The sequence below is a fragment of the Homo sapiens genome, chromosome 14, assembly GCF_000001405.40.
Source record: "Homo sapiens chromosome 14, GRCh38.p14 Primary Assembly".
Classification (NCBI taxonomy): Eukaryota; Metazoa; Chordata; class Mammalia; order Primates; family Hominidae; genus Homo; species Homo sapiens.
In genome coordinates, this window is record NC_000014.9 from 71,408,593 (window position 1) to 71,432,002 (window position 23,410).

Here is a 23,410-nt window from a genome sequence, read left to right on the forward strand (position 1 = left end):
GCAGAGCCCAGGTTTGTGCCTCCACCCCCTTTCCCCTTTCCTTGCTTTCAGGAAGATTTTTTTCCCCCCTGGTTTTGGAACTACACTTGCCTTTACTCAAAACTCTCTGGGAAATGGTTTAGAAGTACAGTAGGAATCTCTTCCTTAGAAGCCACCAGTTGGTTCAGAATCACAGCTGCAATTCTCCTGCCTGTCTTTTCTCTGTGTTGAGGAAGGGAGTGAGCAGGAAGAGACTGGAGTCAGACAGCTGTGGGCTTGCATCTGAGCACTTGCTTATTAGTTGTGTGACCACAGGCAGTGGGCTTAACCTTTTTAGCCCTCAAATCTCTGATGTAAAATCGGGATCCTCCTAAAGACCTCCTCATGGTTTGGTGAGGCTCAGATCTTGTATGTCGAGGAACTCGTGCTTAGCATTTGCAGGTTTTACTTTGAAGCTACTGTGTGTTCCCCCGTGATCCCCTCCTTCTCTTTCCCTCTGGAAATAACACTGTCCTGAACTTCAGGTTCAACATTCTGTTGCTTTTTAAAGTGAGTATATCTGTAAGTAATATATTCTTAGTTTTGCCCATTTGGGCTCTGTAAAAATGGTGTCTTCTTACATGTAGTCTATAAATAAGGGTGCCTCATCGGAACCAGGTGAGTGTAGAACTCTTGGCTCTCCACCTGGCCTTTGATGATGGGATGTGGGTGTGGGGTTGAAGATTTTTTTTCCGTGGTGTGGCTAGAGTAGAGTGGTTTTTGTCTAAAACTTTTTGTTTTGCCAGGCCACCCCCTTATGGGTCCTTTGGTTAGAGAGACTGGCTCTTTCTGATACAGGATCACAGGTAGGGAAGGCATTATATGACATGTGGTGTGAGGGATAAATCCAATAAATAAACATTGAAGTTAATGGGAGCCAGATTTACTACTCTTACAGGGAAGGGAAAGGTGAAAACTAGGTTTCACCTTTAGTAAAAGGACTGGGTCCTTTTGGAGAAAGGACCTTTTAGTAAAAGGATTGGGCTAATCAGAGAAAGTCAAATCTGGTCTGTAAAGTAGATGACTATATAACATCAGTGTTAATTTCTGGTTTTTGATGGTCATCATTGTAGTTTTGTAGGAGAATGCCCTTGTTTATAGAAATTACTCACTAAACTCTGGGAGTGATAGGCCATCACATTGGCTACTTAGTCTCAAATAGTTCAGGGAAAAAAGTGTTATCTGTAGTGTTCTTGCAACATTTTTGTAGGTTGGTCTGAAGTTATAAAGTAAAACAAAACAAAACTTTTCATAATTGACTTAGTAACAGAATTGTTAGCTTATCAAAGTCATTTATAAGGTTTACGGGGCTTGCTTTTTGGGCTGCCTTGTCTTGAAACTACCCGACCATGGTGGCCTTCCTGTGATTATACATCTTGATTTGTCTTTCGGTATGCTGTTTTTTAATATTTATAATCATCACATTAATACATTCTTGGCTCATTATTTATTTCCTTCATCTGTTTTGCCTTTGTGCCAAACTGCTTCTTTGAATGGAAAGTGTAGTTTACAAAAATATGGCAGCTCATTGTATTCAATGACAATACTGTATTTAATTTTAACTTACTTTGTGTATGCTATTCTTTTCTTCTCAATCCGCTGGTGAGCCATTAAAGCAATTTCTTATTTCATCACACTATGTCTACCTTAGTACTAAGCATATTTCAGTAGGCTTTTAGTTTACTTTTCAAAGTGCTGGGCTGTTGATTGCATGTCTTAGAATTTCAAATTTTCAGGAAGTATAAGCAGGGTGAGGGGCATTTGGTAGAGTGGTGGATGTGATGCTCTAGCTAATTCATAATCTAGTCAGCTCACATACATATTTGTGAATGGTTGGCCCCTAAACGTTTAGGGTTAAACATATGGGTTGAGTTTTCCTTATCCAAAATGCTTGGGACCGGAAGTGTTTAGGATTTTTTATTTTTTTGGATTTTGAAATATTTGTAGTATACTTACCAGTTCAGCATCCCTGATCGGAAAACCTGAAATCTGAAGTGCTCCAATGAGCATTTCCTTTGAGCACTAAAAGTCACGTTGGCATTAAAAACGTTTCAGATTTTGGAGTATTTCCGATTTCATGTTTTCAGATTAAGAATACTCAGCCTTGGATGAAGATGGTTCTAGTTCACAAAATTGTGTGAGTCAGGGTGGGGGGTAAGGTTAGCTATAGGGAGAAGGTTCATTGTCAGAATAGTGTTCTTTCTGTGAGAACATTACATGCAAATTGTCTCTTTGGCAGAATCTCCCCTTTTCCTTTGGTACAGAAAACCATAGGTTAAATACATAGAATTCCTTCCCCCCTCCCTCCATACCTGTCTTTCTTTGAGGCGACTTAGATCCATCATAGGGCTTGTTTTCCTTAAATAGGCTGGAGGTCAAACTTCTCTTTAGCAGTTATACTAATTTTCATATTTCTCAGAATGATCAGGGAAAAGAACTTTTGAAAACTCAGGGTGGTAGTTACATTGCACTTTGTATATGCCCACACATCAGACTTTTCTTTAGCATTTTGTTTTTTTTTTCTTGCTGCTTTTACAGTGTAGGTGGCCTTCTCCTGATTGCTTTTGACAGGAAATTGAGCAACCTTTCTTTTTTGGAACTGAATATATTTTGCTGCTAAGAGAGGGAAAAAATGTTTATGTTTTGAAACTTTATTATGAGTTTTTTATTTAAAGACTTACTTAAATCTAGAAAAAGGGGGTAGAGGTTAAATTTCATATCGTGCACTACAACTTCTGAACCTTCCTAGTAATTTCTGGGCTTTCCTTTCTTTGTAGCATTGCTTTGTTCTCTTAGCCATTGATAGATATTGAGAAGTTGTCCTTGAACCTGTCATTATTTTTCTAGCTCTTAACTGGGGCTGCCTTCCCCAGTTGTCTTCTCTCTGTAGTGGAGGTGTGGTAGTCTCTACACTGATTTCACGGGCACCTTGAATCTAGAACTTATGTTAGCCTCTTCTACTCCGTTTCAGCTTTGGATAAGCATAGCATTCAGCAAAGCTTCCCAAGGAGTTGGCTGGGCCAGAGGTTGCAATGAGTGGGAGCTCCCGACTGGAGTCCTGCCTCTGGCACAGGTTCTACCTGGACTGCCAAACCTTCTGGTGCTTTGGGGTACGAGCACCGGTCTTTGCCCCACTACCCACAGCCCCTGGCCCGCTTGCTGCTTCGAGTTACTGTAGTTCAGCCTGATTTGGGTAGTTCCTGTGTACACTGAGGATTCAGAAGACAAAGTCAGACTTTAATTAGAATAAGCCCATTTGCCACATATGGAAATCTTGTTCAGTTAGAATGGAGTAATTCTGATGGAATCTTTCTAAGTGTGTTCATAAATCCTGTCCTTTTGCTTGAGTTTAAAATTTGCATGTTTATTCATGTTCCTAAGTGGATTACTACTGCAGATCAGCTGCCAGCCATGTCTTATTTATATAATTAGTTGTAGCTCATTAGTTAAAGATTAACAAAACGAAGTACATATTTTGAGTGTTATAGATTTCTTCACCTATTCTATGGGTGCAAGCTGCAGGCCAGTTGTGTAAAAACAGCAAGTTTTGTTATCTTAGATATCTGACTCTCAGAATATCTTTTAGAGCAAGCTTGTCCATCCTGCAGCCCACGAGCCACATGTGGCACAGGATGGCTTTGAATGCAGCCCAACACAAACTTGTAAACTTCCTTAAAACATTATGAGACTTTATTGCAATTTTTTTAAAGCTCATCAGCTATCGTTAGTGTATTTTATGTGTGGCTTAAGACAATTCTTCTTCCACTGTGGCCCAGGGAAGCCAAAAGATTGGACATTCCTTCTTTAGAGGTTTATTTTACCCACGGTTTTCTTCTGATATTTGTACGATTTGGTTATGGTAGTGTAGGAAAGGCCTGTTGCGGGGTCTTACCGAGCTCTGTTCTACCGTATTACATGAGATCATAGTGTGAGGGCATGATAGGCCCTTGGTAAGTCTTGTTTGAAGTGCTTTTTTATTTAGCTGAATAAAAGGTGGGAGGCCTAATGTCCGGGGTGATAGGCTGGGAAGAGGAACTTCCCCTTTTGTCTTCAGTAGGAATTGGGAATATCTGTGAGTGAAACTACTAAGTTCTGATGATTTTTATTCTTCTTAGCTTCCATTTTATGTGATTGGGAACAGAGTTTGGCAATTACATAGTTTGAAATAGTGTTTAAAATTATTTATTGGAAGCTCTTATGGACGTGTCTGACTTATTTAATACATTTTAGAAATTGGTACATGTGCTGTAGATGATTACTATTGGGCATGTGTGTGGGTATTCTTTTAACCAATAAGCTTAGCATTCATAGGAAATACAACCATGGTGGGAGCTTAGTAGGTGATCTGAAATGAGCAGTGTGAGAATTGTGGAATTTCCAAATATGCAGTGTTTGGTTTCTTCGGAACAGGGTTTCTAAACCTCACCAGTATTTTCGCTTTAGGCAGGATAATTCTTTGTTGGAGGGGACTGTCCTGTGCATTGTAAGATGTTTAGTGGCTTCCCTGGTTTTTGTGTATTACATGCCAATAGTGTGCCCACCCCCCACTTCACTTGTGATGACCAAAAATGTTACCAGATGTTGCAAGATGTCACCTGTGGGTACAAAATTGCTCCCTGTAGAGAACTAGTATTTTGGAATAGTGATTCCCATAGGCATGTGATGGACCAACTCATCAAAATCACTTTGTTGTTGTTGTTGTTTTTTCTTCTATACATACAGCTTCCAGGGTGAGATCTTTGAGTAGCAGTCTGTGGACAGACTGAATGAATAGCCAAGCAAGAATTTGTTGTTTAAGTGGGAATGGCTGTTGGTTGGCTTAAATTTAAATATGTGTTGAGGCGGGGCATAGTGCAGTGGCTCACGCCTGTAATCCCAGCATTTTGGGAGGCTGAGGCGGGTGGATCACCTGAGGTGAGGAGTTCAAGATTAGCCTGGCCAACATGGTGAAACCCCGTCTCTGCTAAAAACACAAAAATTAGCCGGTGTGGTGGTGCACACCTGTAATCCCAGCTACTCAGGAGGCTGAGGCAGGAGAATTGCTTGAACCCAGGAGGCGGAGGTTGCAGTGAGCTGAGATCTTGCCACTGTACTCCAGCCTGGGCGACAAGAGCAAAACACCGTCTAAAAAACAAAAGCCCAATAAATGTGTATTGAGCTGCACATAAAGAGATTACCAATTAAAGAAGGTTTTAGAGACAAAGTATAAAATTTCATAATTGTGATTTGATTAGTAGTGGTGATTTTTTTCCCCTTTTACTTACTATGAGTTATAGTTGTGTGTTTTTCAAAATTTGGAAATAACTACTAATAAAGTTCATAATTATTTTAATCTAGGTTTTGAGAGATTACCTGAAGTTGCACTCAAAAGCAAGATATACTACTAACTTTGAAATGGAATAAGGTGAGTTGGTGGATTAGTTCCAAAGTCACATTGCAGGGAGGAAATGTCACTCAAACTGTCATTCTTAGAAGACCTGCTATTTGGCCAGGCGCTGTGGCTCACGCCTGTAATCCCAGCACTTCGGGAGGCTGAGGTGGATGGATCACCTGAGGTCAGGAGTTTGAGAACATTCTGACCAACATGGTGAAACCCTGTCTCTACTAAAAATACAAAAATTAGCTGGGTGTGGTGGCACACACCTGTAATCTCAGCTACTTGGGAGGCTGAGGCAGGAGAATTGCTAGAACCCAGGAGGTGGAGGTTGCAGTGAGCCGAGATTGTGCCATTGCACTCCAGCCTGGGGGACAGGGCGAGACTCCATCTCAGGGAAAAAAAACAAAAACAAAAACAAAAACAAAAAACCCTGCTCTTTATAGCAGAATTTTGATTTATCAAATGTCCGATATTTTCTGCCCACTGGCTTTTCCCTTTTTGAAGTGGAAAAGGAAAATATGGGAAATGCTTGTGCAGTTTTAGTCATTGATTTCTGAATTCATTGTTGTCATCTTTGCAGATGAAATAGTTTGGATAATTTTCTGGCTACTTAAGAAGGTTTTCTGTTACATGTTTATGTTTTCCCTCCATAGTGAATGCATTTAAAATCTTCTCTATGTTTCTTGAAATTAGGTGAGAGCTTATACTTCAACCCATGTTCTAAGAATCTTGTTAACTCTAATGCATTGGTGTATAGTTTGGGGTGCCAGGCTTTTCCTGAATAATTGAGAAATGATCAGATGATCTACCCTTTGACTGACGTATACTGGTATATGCATTACTATTGCTCTTCGAGTGACTGTACTGGCTTACTCATTTCTTAAACATTTTAAACAATTACAAAAGGATATTCTTTTATTGAGAAAAACAACAGCTTAATGCAGATTAAGGGAGACGTATTTTATACAGGCCAAAAATACTGTCATATGTTAAATTCTGGGGTTGTATAGGTTTCATTATACTTAACCTTGATCTCAGCCAGATGCTGAAACAAAGACCTTGGAGTTTTTCTCATTTGTTGCTTTGTCAGAAGAAAATTTCCTAAGGAGTCAGCTCTTCTGGAGTGACTGCATCCTATAACGGATGGTCAAGTTATCTGACCATCTCCCCTCCATAAACCTTTGTGCAGAGCTTAGGGGATGGGTAATTGGAGCACTGCTTTTAAAGTGGCTTGCTATTTGTGACCTTCCTTGAATTTCAGTAAGGGAAATTTGGGAATCATTATCTCTGAAAATGTTTTTAAAGTACATTAGGGCACTTTTCTGGGTTACATTTATTTGACCGTTCCCAGCATCATTCTTCTTTAATAGAGGTGGAATCTAAGATTTTTAGATATCTGTAATTTTTAGCCATTTGAAAAATCCAGGCTTATAATAGCAACACAACTGAAAAACTGTCTTTGAAAACATAACATCTTTGGAACTGCCAAGAATTGCTTAATGGTGAAGCAAGCAGCCTGCAGGAATGCTCTGTGAATGTAGCTCTGCTCTGGTACTTCGAGAGGGAAGAAAAGTCAGTACATATTATTGAGTGCCCTGTGATTTTTACCTCAATCTTGGAAGCTGTTTTTCTAGATATACTTTTTTTTTCCCTCCAGAATAGCTATATGTTATTGAAATGTGCACCTTCAGTGCAGTTCTCAAATGTCTTAATTATTTTTTTTTTTTTGAGATGGGATCTCACTCTGTCTCCCAGACTGGAGTGCAATGGCATGATCTCGGCTCACTGCAACCTCTAACTCCCAGGTTCAAGCGATTCTCCCGCCTCAGCCTCCCAAGTAGCTGGGATTACAGGCGTGTGCCTCCACACCCAGCTAATTTTTGTATTTTTAGTAGAGATGAGGTTTCGCCATGTTGGCTAGGCTTGTCTTGAGCTCTTGACCTCAGATGATCGGCCTGCCTCGGCTTCCCAAAGTGTTAGAATTACAGGCGTGAGCCACCATGCCCGGATGTATTAATGGTATTTTAATAATAACTCTTGGTTGATAAACTTAAACATGACAGTTTTGAGCAGGCACCTTAAGTTCTGTATACTACCGTGAGGCCAGGCACTTGTTTAGCTTCTGTGTCATACAGCTACCCCTTGTATTTTGTTCTTTTTTTTTTTAGTATAATAAATCTATAGTTTTATTAACACAGAAACTGATAGTGTGGTATGAGGTTTACGTTTAAACAAAGTTTTCACAGAAATCTAACACATGCCTAAAAAGATTTTACAATCTAGCTCTAGATGCAAGTCCAGACAATATCAAGAACTGATGGATCTCATGACTCAAGACAGAGCATTTTGGGTTTCAGTTACTTGTTAGGATTTCTTAAAAATGGTTTTTGTTTTTTTTTTATGGGTTTTAATACACCTTGTCTTTTGAATTGAGTTGCTTCGTTTGATAACTTGAACCTCTGGGCACTGAAATATCTTCTTTTAATAGAAGTGATATCTGGTAATGCTGGTACAGTATCTCTAATAGGTCAGGTGGGAGATTCTTCTGTTATACATCCATTCTTACTCAGGTCTCCTCAGGCAACACAGGAGGAGGCCATGACTCAACAGTTCTCCCAACCTGTTGGTGACATGACTCTTCGCCTTCTAAGTGTATACTTCCTTCCTAAGTGCTATTTCTCTACTTAAGGGATATCTAAAACAATTTCTATACTCTAAAAGAAAGAAAAATCTACACACACACACACACACACACACACACACACGCATGCACACACACACAACCTTGTATATATATAGTTTTATGTGTACCTTATTAAATCCATCATTCTTTTTTAAATTATTTTTTGAGCAGCATTATTCTAGAATATAAATACTGAATTGAATAAGCATACTTTTTTCTTTTCCTTTAAACACACTTTTAAAATACAGTTTTTAAAATTAAATAGAAACATGGTCTCACTGTGTTGCCCAGGCTGGTCTGGAACTCCTGACCTCAAGTGATCCTTCTCCGTTGGCCTCCTGAAGTGCTTGGAATAAAGGCATGAACCACCGTGCCTGGCCTGCATGTAACTTTCGACTCCTCCAGAACTTAACTACTAGTAGCCTACAGTTGACCAGAAGCCTTACCAATAACATGAACAGTTGAATAACATGCATTTTGTATGTTATATGTATTATATACTGTGTTGTTACAATAACATAAGCTAGAGAGAAGAAAATGTTATTAAGAAAATCCTATTGGGAGGCCGAGGCGGGTGGATCACGAGGTCAGGAGATCGAGACCATCCTGGCTAACACGGTGAAACCCCGTCTCTACTAAAAATACAAAAAATTAGCCGGGCGAGGTGGCGGGTGCCTGTAGTCCCAGCTACTCGGGAGGCTGAGGCAGGAGAATGGCGTGAACCCCAGGGGGCGGAGCCTGCAGTGAGCCGAGATTGCGCCACTGCACTCCAGCCTGGGCGACAGCGAGACTCCGTCTCAAAAAAAAAAAAAAAAAAAAAAAAAAAAAAAAAAGAAAATCCTAAAGAAGAGAAAATATATTTGCTATTCATTAATGGAAGTGGATCATAAAGGTCTTTATCCTCATTGTCTTTGCATTGGGTAAGCTGATGAGGAGGAGGGAAAGAAGAGATTGGTCTTGCTGTCTCCAGTGGCAGAGGTGGAGGAGGAGGAAGGGGAGGCAGGAGAGGCAGGCACACTTGGTGTAACTGTTATTGAAAAAATCCACTTTTAAGTGGACATGCACAGTTCAAACTCGTATTGTTGAAGGGTCAACAGTGCTAGACAGTTTTATTTTCTAAATGCTAACTATAATACAGTATAAAAATACTAAAAATGTATAGTAGCTAGGGGATGATTAGAGAATCTTCCTTTCATCTTTGGCTGTGACTAGTTTGAATTGAGTTTGACATGGCCTGAGGTCACTTCAGAATTATTTTGTTACACGTTTTTATTATCCAAAGCCCATTTCTTTGTTCTTAAAGAAGAAAATGATAGGAAATCCTTTAGCCTAACAAACATTTTTATCAGCCAGTAGAATGGTGATCTGACTCTTTCGTATTTACTAATGCTGTTGTACCCTTTTTCTCTTCAGTAGGAACAACTTATTCTCACTCAGCTTTTATTTTTATGTTCTCCAGAACATAAGAGAGCAGCTGCCCATGCCAAATAGTTACCTCTTTTAAACTCATTCTACTGGAGCAAATGGTAAGAGGTATTTGAATTAAGTTGTCTTTGGAGGGGTGTGCCTTATTTCTTAATACCTGATTATTTTTTTGGGCCCAGATCTGCATGGGTATGATTGTCTATAGTAGTATATTGTAATTTTATAATGGTACCATGTTGCCCACTTTCTTGACTGTCTCATATATTTAAAATTTGCTAATAGTGGATTTGAACAAAAGTCTAAAGGAAGGAATCAGAAAATAAAGAAGAGAGAACATGAACTATGTGGATGTAGTTGGAGGTCAGGGTAGGAATTGTGCAGAGCTCAGCCCCACCCCCTACTGTCCCTATTTGACTTAAAAAGTTGGGTGACATGAGCATTTTTGAAGACCTGGCTTCTGAGACAGCAGGTCACACGGCAGAACTGGAGAAGAAGCTTGGGAGAAGCTTGCATTTGCCAGTTGATCATGAATTGCTAATGTTTCTCGAAGGGCTTAGGAAACAGTGATGGGGATTTTATTTTAAAACCTGGACTTCATTTTAATGTTTGTCAATCCCTCAGCATATTTTATATATAAGAGGAAGTTGTAAATGTCTTCACTAGTATTTAAGTGCCTTTCCCCAAAACCATGTATGGAAAATTAAGGCCATATGGTGGGTAAAGTCTTAAATGTGGGGAAGTTCAGCATGCCACGTTCTGGAGCTTTTGGTGCTCCTGCGGGGAGGGCTTTATTGTATCTTTTTGGAAAAGATTTTTAATAAGCAGGAGAATGTAGCGTTGAATGTCCTTGGCTTGAAGGCCATTACTACTCACATCTGCACAAAATGGGCCAAGGTCTTCAGTGAGTAGATGATAAGGGAAACACAGTGGTATGGGTGGGCAGCCCTTCCGCCTGATATCAGCCTCTCAGAGCAGGGGTGTTTCCTGAACCGTTGCTGTCTCAGCACATGACTAGCCTTGAGTTCTGCCTGTAATAGTTTCCTTAATTAAAACGGTCTGATTGGCACTCTGGATGAGCGTTCAGTAGGTTAAATAGTGAATGGTTGCTGTAGAGCTAACGGACTTTGTTTTCTTTCAGGGTTTTTTTTTTTTTTAAGTCTATAGCTTAATTCAGTAACTGACCCTTGTCTGCTACCGACCAGTGTTTTTTTCCAGTCAACTGAAAAGTAAATGTTTTGAGAAATTGACTAGGTAACATTTGATAAATATCTGTCTTTGTGTAGGGACTTTCAGGGCTGTTCTGGCCTGAAATGAAAGCTTTTGGGCCAGGGGTGATGGCCCACACCTGTAATCCTGTAATTTGAAAGGCTCAAGGAGGATCTCTCTTTTTTTTTTTTTTTTTTTTTTTTTTTTGAGACGGAGTCTCGCTCTGTCGCCCAGGCCGGACTGCGGACTGCAGTGGCGCAATCTCGGCTCACTGCAAGCTCCGCTTCCCGGGTTCACGCCATTCTCCTGCCTCAGCCTCCCGAGTAGCTGGGACTACAGGTGCCCGCCACCACGCCCGGCTAATTTTTTGTATTTTTAGTAGAGACGGGGTTTCACCTTGTTAGCCAGGATGGTCTTGATCTCCTGACCTCATGATCCACCTGCCTCGGCCTCCCAAAGTGCTGGGATTACAGATGTGAGCCACCGCGCCCGGCCAAGGAGGATCTCTTGAGGCAAAGAGTTCAAAACTAACCTGGGCAACATAGTGAGACCCCATCTCTTAAAAAAAAATTAGCTGGACATGGTGGCATGCACCTGTAGTCCCAGCTACTTGGAAGGCTGAGGTGGGAGGATTGCTTGAGCTTGGGAAGTTGAGGGTGCAATGGGCCATGATCACACCACTGCACTCCAGCCTGGGTGACAAAGCAAGACCCTGTCTCAAAAAAACAAAACAAAAACCTTAAAGCTTTTGTAGTTATAAGGTAGATATTCTGTGTTTGTTGACATCGTTTCTTCCCTGGATTTATTAGTGGAAAAGTTAATTAAGCAAATAATTATTTTATATCTATTATGTAGAGAACATTTTGCTTAGTATTAGCCAGGATAGAAATATGAAAAAGAAATGCCTCCTCGTAATCAAGTTATTTTTCTAGAGGAGAATTAGACATAGTTGGAAATGGTCATAATAAATGACCAAACATAATAAGGCCTTTAGTAGAAATATAGGTAAATGCATTGAGGCATTTATAGAGGGAGGATTGAATCCATGAAGGTGGCATTATTCGAACAGGGCATTGAAAGGCCATCTGACTGTCTGTCTGCCTATCTACCCATCTATCTGTCTACTAAAGGAGTAACATTTGGTTTTTTAGGTAACCAAAGCAACTCATCTTTGTTGTGTAAAATCTTGGATGTTCTTAATGGCACACAGATCAAAGTAAAAATCACCTAATTCCCACCAGATCACTCAGTCTTCACTAACATCCAGAAGTAACTATCTCTGCTATCACTTTTACTTATTATCTATGGAATTTTCCAAACATGCATAGAAGTAGAGAGAAAAGTGCAGTGAGCCCCCATATACTTATCATCTAGCTTCCACAGTCATGGACAGGGACATTTTGCCATTCTGTCTGTCTTTCTCCTGCTTTTGTGTTTTTTTTTGTTGGAGTTTCAGATATTATACTATTTAACTTATAAATACTTCAGTCATTTTTTGTTAACAGAGAAGCACTTAAAAAAATAGCAGCAATGTCATCACCATTAACAAACTTACTATGTACTCTAGCTAGTCGTGTAAGCCCTAGTCCATGTTTTCTCTATTGTTTCAAAATTGTCAGTTTACCGTTGGTTTGTGGGAATCAGGATCCAAGCAGCCTTCACACATCGCACGTGTCTCTTTTAAGTCTTTCTTAATCTGTAGCATTTTCTCTTCTCTCCCTTTTTTCATGTAATTTGTTGTGGAAGAAATGGGGTCATTTGTCCTGTGTCACTTTAATAGTTTTCTTTCAGTTTTGTTCTTCTTTGTGATCAAAGATATGTTTTAAAAGCAAAATTAAGATCATATTGCGCATACTGTTTTATGAGCTACTTTTTATACTTAACGATTGAATGAGGACATTTTTCTATTATTTACTCTTCTTCAATTAGTTTTTATTTTCTGTTAAATCTTATGGAATAATAGTAACTAAAATGAGAAAGATGTAGTTGATTATATTTAAAGTAAATCTGGCCAGGCATGGTGGCTCACGCCTGTAACCCCAGTGCTTTGGGAGGCTGAGGCAGGAGGATTGCTTGAGGCCAGGGGTTTGAGACCAGCCTGGGCAACATAGTGAGACCCCCATCTCTACAAAAACGAGAAAAAAAAAGGTAGGCAGGTATGGTGGTGTTTGCTTGTAGTCCCAGCTTCTTGGGAGCCTAAGGTGGGAGGATGGCTTGAGCCCAGGAGTTGAAGGCAGTGAGCTATAATCACTCTACTGTACTCCATCCTGGGTGACAGAGTGAGACCTTATTCTTAAAAAAATTATAAAATAAAATAATAAAATAGGTAAAGCTTACATTAATGATATATATTATAACAACAGATTGGTTATTTCTTTCCTCCTTGACTCCCTCCCTCCCTTTCTTCCTTTCTTTTTTATTCCAGTAGCTGTTATGGTTGGATATAATATTGGAGATGCAATTACCTGGATTGAAAGTCCATTTGGTTTTTCCTGGGGAATGTAGAAGATGGTTGTGTAAAAGACAGCCTGCCTGATGGTTCCTTGACAGGGCTGAAAGTAGAGGGAGGTAAATGGTGCTCACCCAGGCCGTGATTTTCTGGAGATTTACCGCAAGAAGGGGACTCATAATTATTGTTGCTGAACTTTATTAAAATGTTAAGCTTACATTCTCATATAAACTAGGCCACTGTAATCCCAGCACAGTGGGAAAGGATTCTTAGTCGTTAAAATGGAGTATGACGTTTTTACTTAGTGATGCTAACATTTTTAACAGTTGTATATGAGGACGTCTTTCAGTTATTGCCAAACTTTTAGCCTGGGAAAGAGATATGTGTGTTGGCTCATACCTATAATAATTATACCAGCTGAAGCTTCATGTGGCCATTTAAGTAGACAGAGTCAGCTTCATTTATGATGTTATAATTATCCCTATGGTAGTTTGTATTCTTCCATTTGATTAGACCTTTTGTAGTTATTTTAACTTTTATTTGTTGTTGCTTTTTCCTTTTTTAAAAATATGAAACAATACATATAACATCTTAACCATTTTCACCGTACAGTTCGTTGGTATTAAATACATTAATAATGTTGTCCAGCTGTCACCACCATCCATCTTCATAACTCTTTTCATTTCAGTAAAACTGAAATTCTGTACTCATTAAACAGTAACTCCCCATTCCTACCACTGCCCAGGCCCTGATGTCCATCATTCTGCTTTCTGTCTCAATGATTTAGGCTACTTGAAGCACTTCATATAAGTGAAATCATCATACATTATTTGTCTTTTTGGTGACTGGCTTATTTCACTTACCATAATGTCTGAAGATTCATCTGTGTTGTAGCATGTGTAAGAATTTCCTTCTTTATAAAGCGGAATAATATTCTGTTGTATGTGTATACCACATTTTGCTTATCCATTCATCCATCGATGGACACTTGGGTGGCTTCCGCCTTTTAGCTATTGTGAAGAATGTTGCTGTGAAAATGAGTGTACAAATATCTCTTTGAGACTCTGCTTTGAATTTTGTTGGTAAATACCCAGAAGTAGAATCATTGGATCATCTGGTAGTTCTATTAAAAAATTTTGATGAACTGCCATAATCTTTTCTTCACAGTGGCTGTACCATTTTACATTCCTACCAACAGTGCACAAAGATTCCAGTTTCTTCACATCCTTGCCAATACGTATTTTCTGGTTTTTTGATAGTTGCCATTGTAATGGGTATGAGGTGGCACCTCGTAATTTTGATTTGTATTTCTCTAATGCTTAGTGATGTCGAACATTTTTTTATGTGCTTATTGGCCATTTTAATATCTTTTTTGGAGAAATGTTTATCCAAGATCTTTGCCCATTTTTGAATCAAGTTGTTTGTTTTGTTGTTGAGTTACAGTTCTTTATATAGCTGTGATGTTAATCCCTTGTCAGATATATGAATATGATTTGAAAATATTTTCTCCCATTCTGTGTGTTGCCTTTTTTAGTCTGTTGATAGTGTCTTTTGATGCACAAAATTTTAAAATTTTCATGAAGTCCAATTTATCTGTTTTTTAATTTTGTTATATATGCCTTTAATGTCATATCTAAGAAAACATTGCCAAAGCCAGTGCTGTATAGCTTCTACCTTATGTTTTCCTGTGAGAGCTTTATAGTTTTAGGTCTTACATTTAAGTTTTTCATTCATTTGAGTTAATTTTTGTAAGTAGTATTCACCTAACTGTATTCTTTTGCATATGCAGTTTTCCCAGCACCATTTGTTGAAAGGACTGTCCTTTCCCCATTGAATGGTCTTGGCGCTCTTGTCAAAAATCATTTCACCATGTATGCAAAAGCTTATTCTGGGCTCTGTATTCTATTCCATTGGTGTCTGAGTCTGTCTTTATGCCAGTACCATATTGTTTTGATTACCATAGCGTTGTAGTAAGTTTTGAAATCAGAAAGTATGAGTCTTCCTGCTTTGTTCCTTTTCAGGATCATTGTGGCTATTTGGGTCCCCTAACATTTCATGTAAATTTTAGAATTGTTTTTCTTATTTATGCAAACATATCATTGGGATTTTGATAGGGATTGTATTACATCTGTATGTTGTTTTGGGTAATATTGCTATCTTAATATCAAACCTTTCAGTCCTTGAACATGGAAAGTGCTTCTATTTATTTCTTTTAACTTCTTTCAGCAGTGTTTTGTAGTTTTCATTGTACAAGTCTTTCACTTCCTTGTTTAATTCCTAGGTATTTTATTCTTTTGATGCGTTTTTGTAATGTCCTTTTAAGATTGTCCATTGATAAGTATATAGAAATGCAACTGATTTTTGTATGTAGACTTTGTCTCCTGCTATGTTGCTGAATTCATTTATTAGTTCTAACAGTTTTTTGTGGAACCTTTTGGGTTTTCCACATGTAAGATTATATCACCTGTGGACAGAAGTAATTTTACTTCTTTTCCAGTTAGAATGCCTTTTATTTCTCTTTCTTGCCTAAATGCTCTGGTGGAACTTCCTGTACTAGGTTGAATAGAAGTGATGAAAGCATGCATTCTTGCCTTGTTCGTGATGTTAGAGGAAAAGCTTTTATTTTAGACTTTCATTATAGACATGATGTTTGCAACTGGTTTTTCATATGTTGCTTTTATTTTATTGAGGTAGTTTCTTTCTATTCCTAGTTTATTGAATGTTTTTATCATGAAAGGGTGTTGAATTTTAACAGATGCTTTTTCTGCATCAATTCAGATGGTCATATGGGATATTTCATCTCTTCATTCTGTTAATGTGGTGTATGATCTTTGTATGTTGAGCCATCCTTGTATTCCAGGAATAGATCCCACTTGGTCATGGTGTATAATCCTTTTACTATGCTGCTGAATTCAGTTTGCCAATATTTTGTTGAGGATTTTTGCATCGGTATTCATTAGAGATAATGGTCTCCAATTTTCTTGTAGTATCTTCATCTGGTTTTGGTCTTAGGGTAATACTGGCATCAGATAATGAGTTAAGAAGTGTTCCCTCCTCTTCAATTATATGGAAATTTGAGAGGGATTGGTGTTAGTTCCTTATTTGTTTGGTAAAATTTACCAGTGAAGCCATTAGGTTCAGAACTTTTCTTTTTTGAGAGATTTTTTTTATTACTGATTTAATCTCTGTACTAGTTATATCTCTTAGGTTTTCTGTTTCTTCATAATTTAATGTTGGTAACATTTTGTATTTCTAGGAATCCATTTTTTCTAGGTTATCCAGTTTTTTTGCATACAGTTCTTCATAGTGCACTCTTATAAGCCTTTTTATTTCTGTAGAATCAGTAGTAATGTCCCCACTTTCATTTTTGATTTTAGTAATTTGAATCTTCCCTTTTTGTGTGTGTGAGTACATCTCAGTAAATATTTGTCAATTTTGTTGATATTTCCAAAGAACCAACTTCTGTTTCCTTAATTTTCTCTGTTGTTTTTCTTTTGTTTAGTTTATCTCTACTCCTTCTTTCTGTGAGCTTTGGGTTTAGTTTGTTCTTAAAGTTAGGTTTTTGACTTGAGATTTTGTCTTTTAATGTAAACATTTATAGCTGTGAATTTTCCTCTCAGCACTGCCTTTGCTGTGTCCCATAAGTTTTGGCATTTGTGTTTTCATTTTTGTTCAAGTCTTAAGTATTTTCTAATTTCCCCTGTGATTTCTCCTTTGATCTATTGGTTAAGAATATGTTGTTCAGTATCCTACAATTTTGTGTTTTGTGGAAATAGTTTTACTTCTTATTAATTTCTAACTTCATCGTGTTGTGATTGCAGAAGACATTTTATGTGGCATCTTTGAAAATCTGTTGAGACTTAATTTGTGGCTTAGTATATGGCTTGTCCTGGAAAATATCCCATATGCTTTTAAGAAGAATGTGTATACTGTTCTTGGAGTGTTCTGTATATACCTGTTAGTTCAGTTGGTTTCTTGTGTTTTTTGAGTCCTCTGTTTCCTTGTATCCAGTCCAGTTGTTCCATCCATTATTGAGAATGGGGTATTGATGTCTCCAACTATTATTGTAGAATGGTCTATTTCTCTCTTTGGTTTTATTTTAGATTTATTTTAGATATTTTGATAGTTAGGTGAATAAATTTTTATAATGGTTATATCTTGCTATATTGTATTTTTTGTTACTATATAATGTCCTTTTTTTGTTTAATGTAAGCGTTTTTGACCTAAAATCTATTTTGTTAGGTATTAGTATAACCATCCTTGCTTTCTTTTGGTGACTATTTGCACGAAATAATCGTTTTATTACTGCACTTAGAATCTGTTTGTGTCTTTGGATCTAAAGTGAGCCTCTTGTAGATAGCATATAGTTGGATCATGTTTTTTAATTTTTTAATCTTTAAACACATGTCCTTTGTCTATCAGAGGTTGTTTTTATCTGTTCTACCATTCTCTGTCTTTTTTGATTAGAGAGTTTAATCCATTTACATTTAAAGTAATGACTGATAAGGAGGCACTTTTGTCATGTTGCTATTTGTTTTCTACATGCCTTGTAGCTTTTTGGTTCCTTATTTCTAGCATTAACTGTTGACTTTTGTATTTGTTTGTTTGTTTGTTTTTAGTGAAACCTTTAAAATTTTTTTTTTCTTGTTTGTATTCTGTAGGTATTTTCTTTGTGGTTACCATAGGAATTACATTTAACATTCTAAAGTCATAATACCCTAATTTGAATTTCTTTCTTTTTTTTTTTTTTTTCCCAAAGACAGAGTCTCACTCTGTTGCATAGGCTGGAGTGCAAGTGGTATGATCTTGGCTTACTGCAACCTCTGCCTCCCAGGTTCAAGCGATTCTCCTGCCTCAGCCTCCTGAGTAGCTGGGATTACATGCGTGCACCACCATGCCCAGCTAATTTTTTTGTATTTTTAGTATAGACGGGGTTTCACCATGTTGGCCAAGCTGGTCTCAAACTCTTGACCTCAAATGATCTGCCTGCCCTGGCCTCCCAAAGTGCTGGGATTACAGTTGTAAACCACTGCACCCAGCCTGAATTTATACCAGCTTAACTACATAAACTCTCTTCCTCTAATAGTTCAGGCACCACCTTTTTCACTGTTGATGTCACAGAATTACATCTTTATACCTTGTGTGCTCAAAAACATAAAGTAATAATGAACTAATAAGAGATTAGTGCATTCATTTCTTAAACCATGTAGAAAACAAAATGTGGCATTGTAACTAATAGCACTACCTTTTAGACTAAATTTTTAGAGAAAGTTTAGTCTCTTAAATCACAGAGCAAACAAAAAATGCAGTTACAGACTGTTTTTACAATGATACTTTTATAATTGCTCCTGCATTTTCTTTTATTGAAGTCTTTATTTCTTTATGTGGCTGCAAGTTACTTTTTAGTGTCCTTTTATTTTTACCCTGCAGGGACTTCTTTTATCATTTCTTGCAAGACGGGTCTAATGGTAGTCAACTTTCTCAGCTTTTTTTTTTGTCTGAGAATGTCTTCATTTCGCACCCACTTTTGAAGGACAGTTTTGACAGAATAACATTCTGGTTGATAGGTTTGTTTGTTTGTTTTTTGCACTTTGAATATATCTTCCTACTGCCTTTTGGCCTCCAAAGTTTCTGATGAGAAAACTGCTAATAATCTTAGGAGGATCCTTTGTATGTGATGAGTTGCTTTTCTCCTGCTGCTTTCAAGATTCTATCTTTGTCTTTAGAAAGATATTATAATGTGTATCAATGGGGGTCTCTTTGAGTTTTCTTGTCTCCTTTTGGAACTCTCACAATGTATGTGTTGCTTAGCTTGATGGTGTCCCATAGGTCCCCTGGCTCTGCTCACTTTTCTACAGTCTTCTTCCTGTTTCTCAGACTTGATCATTTTCATTGTCCTCTCTTCAGGTTCACTGATTCTTTCTTCTGCATCCTCAAATCTGCCTTTGATTCCCTCAGTGGATTTTTCATTTCTATTGTGCATTTCAACTTCAAAAATTTTTTTCTGGATTTTGCATCTCTTTATGAATATTTTCATTTTGCTTATGAATTTTTTTTTAAGTTTCTCTACATCTTCCTTTAGTTCTTTGTTTATCTTTAACATGGTTGTTTTTGTCTAGTAAATCTGCCAACAAGTATTTTTCAGGGTCAGTTTTTAATTTATTTTTTCCTTTGAATGGGCAGTATTTTCCTGTTTGTGTTTCTTGTGATTTTGTTGTTGTTGTTGAAAACTGGACACTTTATTTTTTTATTTTTATTTTTTTTGAGATGGAGTCTCATTTTTTTGAGATGGAGTGCGGTGGTGTGATCTTGACTCACTGCAGCCTCCACCTCCCAGATTCAAGCGATTCTCCTGCCTCAGCCTCCCAAGCAGCTGGGACTATAGGTGTGTGCCACTGTGCCTGCTAATTTTTGTATTTTTAGTAGTGATGGGGTTTTGTTTGCCATGTTGGCCAGGCTGGTCTCGAACTCCTGACCTCAGGTGATTCCCCCCACCTCAGCCTCCCAAAATGCTGGGATTACAGGCATGAGCAACCATGCCTGGCTGAAAACTGGACATTTTAATCTCATAATGTGCCAACTCTGGAAATCAGATTCTCCCCCTTCCTTATGATTTGCGGTTTTTTTTTTCTTTTTTACTGGTTTTATTTTTATTTTTATTTTTATTGTAGGCTGTCTGTGTGCTGATGATCAATCTGATGTGTAAATTTAAGGTCTTTTCAGATATTTTCTGAGTCTGCACCTTTCCCTGACCATGCATGGTCACGTTCTAATTTTCCCCATATATGTGGTTGCTTTTGAATGGCCTAGTCTTTAATGTCTGGCCCTTAAAAGGGGTAAAGAGAAAATTGAATGGGGGTTGGGGAGAAGGGCTCTGGCCTGTTAAATGCCCTGAAGTCCCTTTGGTCAAAAAGGAGGGGCTTCCTGCAAGAGGGGAGGTTCAACAACAGTGGCCTCTTTGCACTTTTGTGATCAGAAGCAGCAGTCAGCCATTAGAGCACAGATCCCTGATATTTAGAGGGCAGGGTCCTTTTTGCCCATCCTGGCTCTTGCCAGCTGTGTGCAAACTACTCTAGGAAATGTGTGCCCAGCTACCTGCCCCAGGACTTGGGGTAGATGATGGGTAGCTGCAACTACGGTAAGAGCCAAAATTAAATGAAAATAACCTCAATGAACTGTTCAGGCTTTCTGCTAGAAGTTGCAAGTTTTCCATAGATTCCACAGCTCCAAAATAATTATTTTGGATAGATTCTGCCAGTGCATCTATTGTCTGGGCGGGAAGACAGATTCCTGATACTTGCTACTCTGTGATCATCCCAGAACCTGCTCCTCAATTTCATTTTAATTTAGTAATAGTTGCTGAGATATTATTTTTATTTCACCGTATTATTTAATCCCAAGTCACTTGATAACATTTTGTTTTTGTGGGACATTTTTTCAAGATTAATTTTTTAATAGAAGTAATAAATTAGTCCATTTATAAGGTTTGAGTGCCTGTTTCCTCCCCACTTCCCTCGTCCTGGTTCTCTGGCTTGCTCTCCACTGGTAAACAGTTTGTTGATTTGGTACTTTTATTTTTATTTATAATATAAAAGCATTGTATTTTTGTATTTTAGAAACTTCACATAATTGCCATTGTATTTAATATCTGTAATTTTTTTTTTTTATTCAACAACTGGCTTTGGATAGGTATTCATGTTGGTTCATATAATCCCAGTTCATCCTTTTTAACTGCTGCCTAGTCATGGGGATTGATTTTTTTTTTCTTCATTTTTCCCATTGCTGAACTTCTAGATTGTTTCTGATAGTTCCTGATTATAAACAAGGCTGCAGGCAACATCCTTGTCCTTGGCTCTGTGTATATGGGCATGTTTCTCTATGCAGTTGTCAGGTCATGGGATATTGTAATAGACACTCTCGAATTGCTTTATCTAAGTGGCTTCCATCAGCAGAGGATAGGTTCTTTAGTCCTATATGTTTATATGTGGAGAAATGGTACAGGATAGGAACTGTGTTTGAAGACCTGATGTATATTTACAAATAGGTAGATCTCATTAGCTTATAATATTTGGCTTTGAAGTTGAAGGCTAGTTTTATTCATTGCACTGTATTTTGCTATCAGATGTGAATTTATTTAGAAATAAAGAATTCTGCTGTTGAATAATTGCAGGTAAATTACTATAATTACCATTGAGCTTTTATGTAAAAGTAACACCTTGTTTTACAATCTGTGCATTGGGGGTAAAGCTAGGTGTGAGGGTTGTCTTAAGTGCTTCTGAAGTTTGGAAGACTTCTTCAGTTAACTGCTAATCTGTGTTCTAATGGCTGAGGGATGTGTTGTATATTCAGCATCACACCTACCTCATTATGGACACCACAGGCAGAGGGAATACATAATTAAATGAGAGCTACTGCTGGGCAGAAATAGGCACACCACCTCCTCTAGTTTCCCTTAAAGGACTGTTGGTTTCAAAGTAAGAATGGTATTTATTCTTTTCCTTTTTTTTTGCATGGTTGTCTGGTATGATGGGGAATATTTCTTTCTTCCTTTTGATCTTTTAAGAAAATAAAAAACTGTAATACTTATTTTATCAATAAATTATTTTCAGAAGCTTTGGTTTTTGAAGTTATCAGTCTTCATATGCCACTTCTTTCTCCACAATAGTTACGTCTGTTCCATTTTATCTCTACAATCCTCTAGCTGGAGATCTCATCAGTATTCTGAGCCTCACTCTATTCATCTAACAAATGGGGCTAATAAGCCAGGAGCCCAGCAGGGTTTTTGGGAGCATGAGGTTGTCAGTGCAGTGCCTCATAGGAAACAAGCTGCACGGGACCAGAGAAATCACTTAATCCAGCCTTCTCCTATAACAGATGAGAAAACTGAGGCTGAGTGTCACATAATGTGTAGCTTCTCTCCCTTTTGTTTGTGCTTAACTAATATCTTTCTCAGTTGTGGGATCACTTTGCGACTCTGCTTCTTGAGAAACCACAGGGGCAGCTTTTGCACAGGGCATTTTCCTTGCTTGCAATTTCTCTTTCTTTTCACCACCTGTCAAGTCACCTTGCCCTCCCTTTGAAACACATTCAAATTCATTTCCTCAGGGAGGCTTTTCTAGTTCATCCTTAAAGATGGGTATTTCAAATCCTGATCAACTCAGTTTTATCCTTCACTGTGGAAATGTGAAGGACCTATTATTGATATTATTATAAAGGTCCTATATAGATATACATATACACTTATATTTTTTGTTATTTAGGGAAAAAAAACTTCTTGAGAACAAATTTGTTAGCAGCGCAGTGTTATTTGTGTATTTTGAAAGGGACAGTTTCAGTTGATGAGATAATTAAATGCACGATATGCTTTTAGCATGTTAACTCCTACTCACAGATCCTTGTTCTGCTTTTCATACAATCAGCTTTCAAGCTAGTAGTCCAGAGCTAAGGATTATGTTAAATAAGTTAGAAGAAAACCACCCACTGCTAATTCACATCTTTTCATATGGGTGAATATTCTTGCAACTTTCCCCTACTGTGCTTTCTTCCACACTATGAAAAGAGGCAAATAAAGTAAAAATGTCAAGTAGCAGTATACACTCCTAAAGATAACTCACAGAAGTAGTTATATGTGGACTTAACTAGTACATAAAAGATTACATGAGGCTGGGTGTGGTGGCTCTCAGCTGTAATATCAGCACTTGGGAGGCTGAGGCAGGAGAATCGCGTGAGTCCAGGAGTTCGAGACCAGCCTGGGCAACATCGTGAGACCTAGTCTCTACAAAAAAATACAAAAATTAGCTAGGTATGGTGGAGCATGCCTGTACTTCCAGCTACTTGGGAGGCTGAGGTGGGAGGATTGCTTGAGTCTGGGAGGTCAAGGCTGTAGTGAGCTGTGATTGCACCACTGTACTCCAGCCTGGGCAACAGAGGCAAGATAGTGTCTAGAAAATAAATAAATAAATAAAAATAAATCACATGAAAGCCAAGTTGGACTTCATAATCCTTAACATGAATGAACTATAAGGGCCAAGGGAGGGCTCCTCTTGGCCTCTCTGAAGGTTTGATAGAAAATCAACTCAGAAAAGGCAGATTAATTGGAGAAAAGGCATGCAAATTTATTTAATGTGTGTACACAGAAGCTTTCAAAATGAAAACCCAAAGATACAGGGAAATTGTCTATTTTTATGCTTAGGTTCAACAGAGTATAGACAGCCGTGTAGAAATAGGCTTTGACAAAAAGGAGGTGATTAAA

The 23,410-nt window shown here is 38.0% G+C and overlaps 1 protein-coding gene across 53 annotated transcripts in view; it reads left to right on the forward strand.

The window, feature by feature from the left end:
• Positions 1 to 23,410, forward strand: part of SIPA1L1 (signal induced proliferation associated 1 like 1) — a 420,734-nt gene that overhangs the window by 88,117 nt on the left and 309,207 nt on the right. For 26 of the 53 annotated variants that reach the window (XM_047431217.1, XM_047431218.1, XM_047431251.1 and 23 more), the window contains 2 exons: positions 5,356 to 5,422; positions 9,538 to 9,604. The exons of 14 other annotated variants lie outside the window; for them this stretch is intronic. The gene's annotated coding sequence lies outside the window, so the exon portion shown is untranslated. Of the gene's footprint in view, positions 1 to 5,355; positions 5,423 to 9,491; positions 9,605 to 23,410 lie in introns of all 53 variants that reach the window. 13 more of the 53 variants (NM_001284245.3, XM_047431245.1, XM_047431253.1 and 10 more) reach the window with 2 other exon arrangements.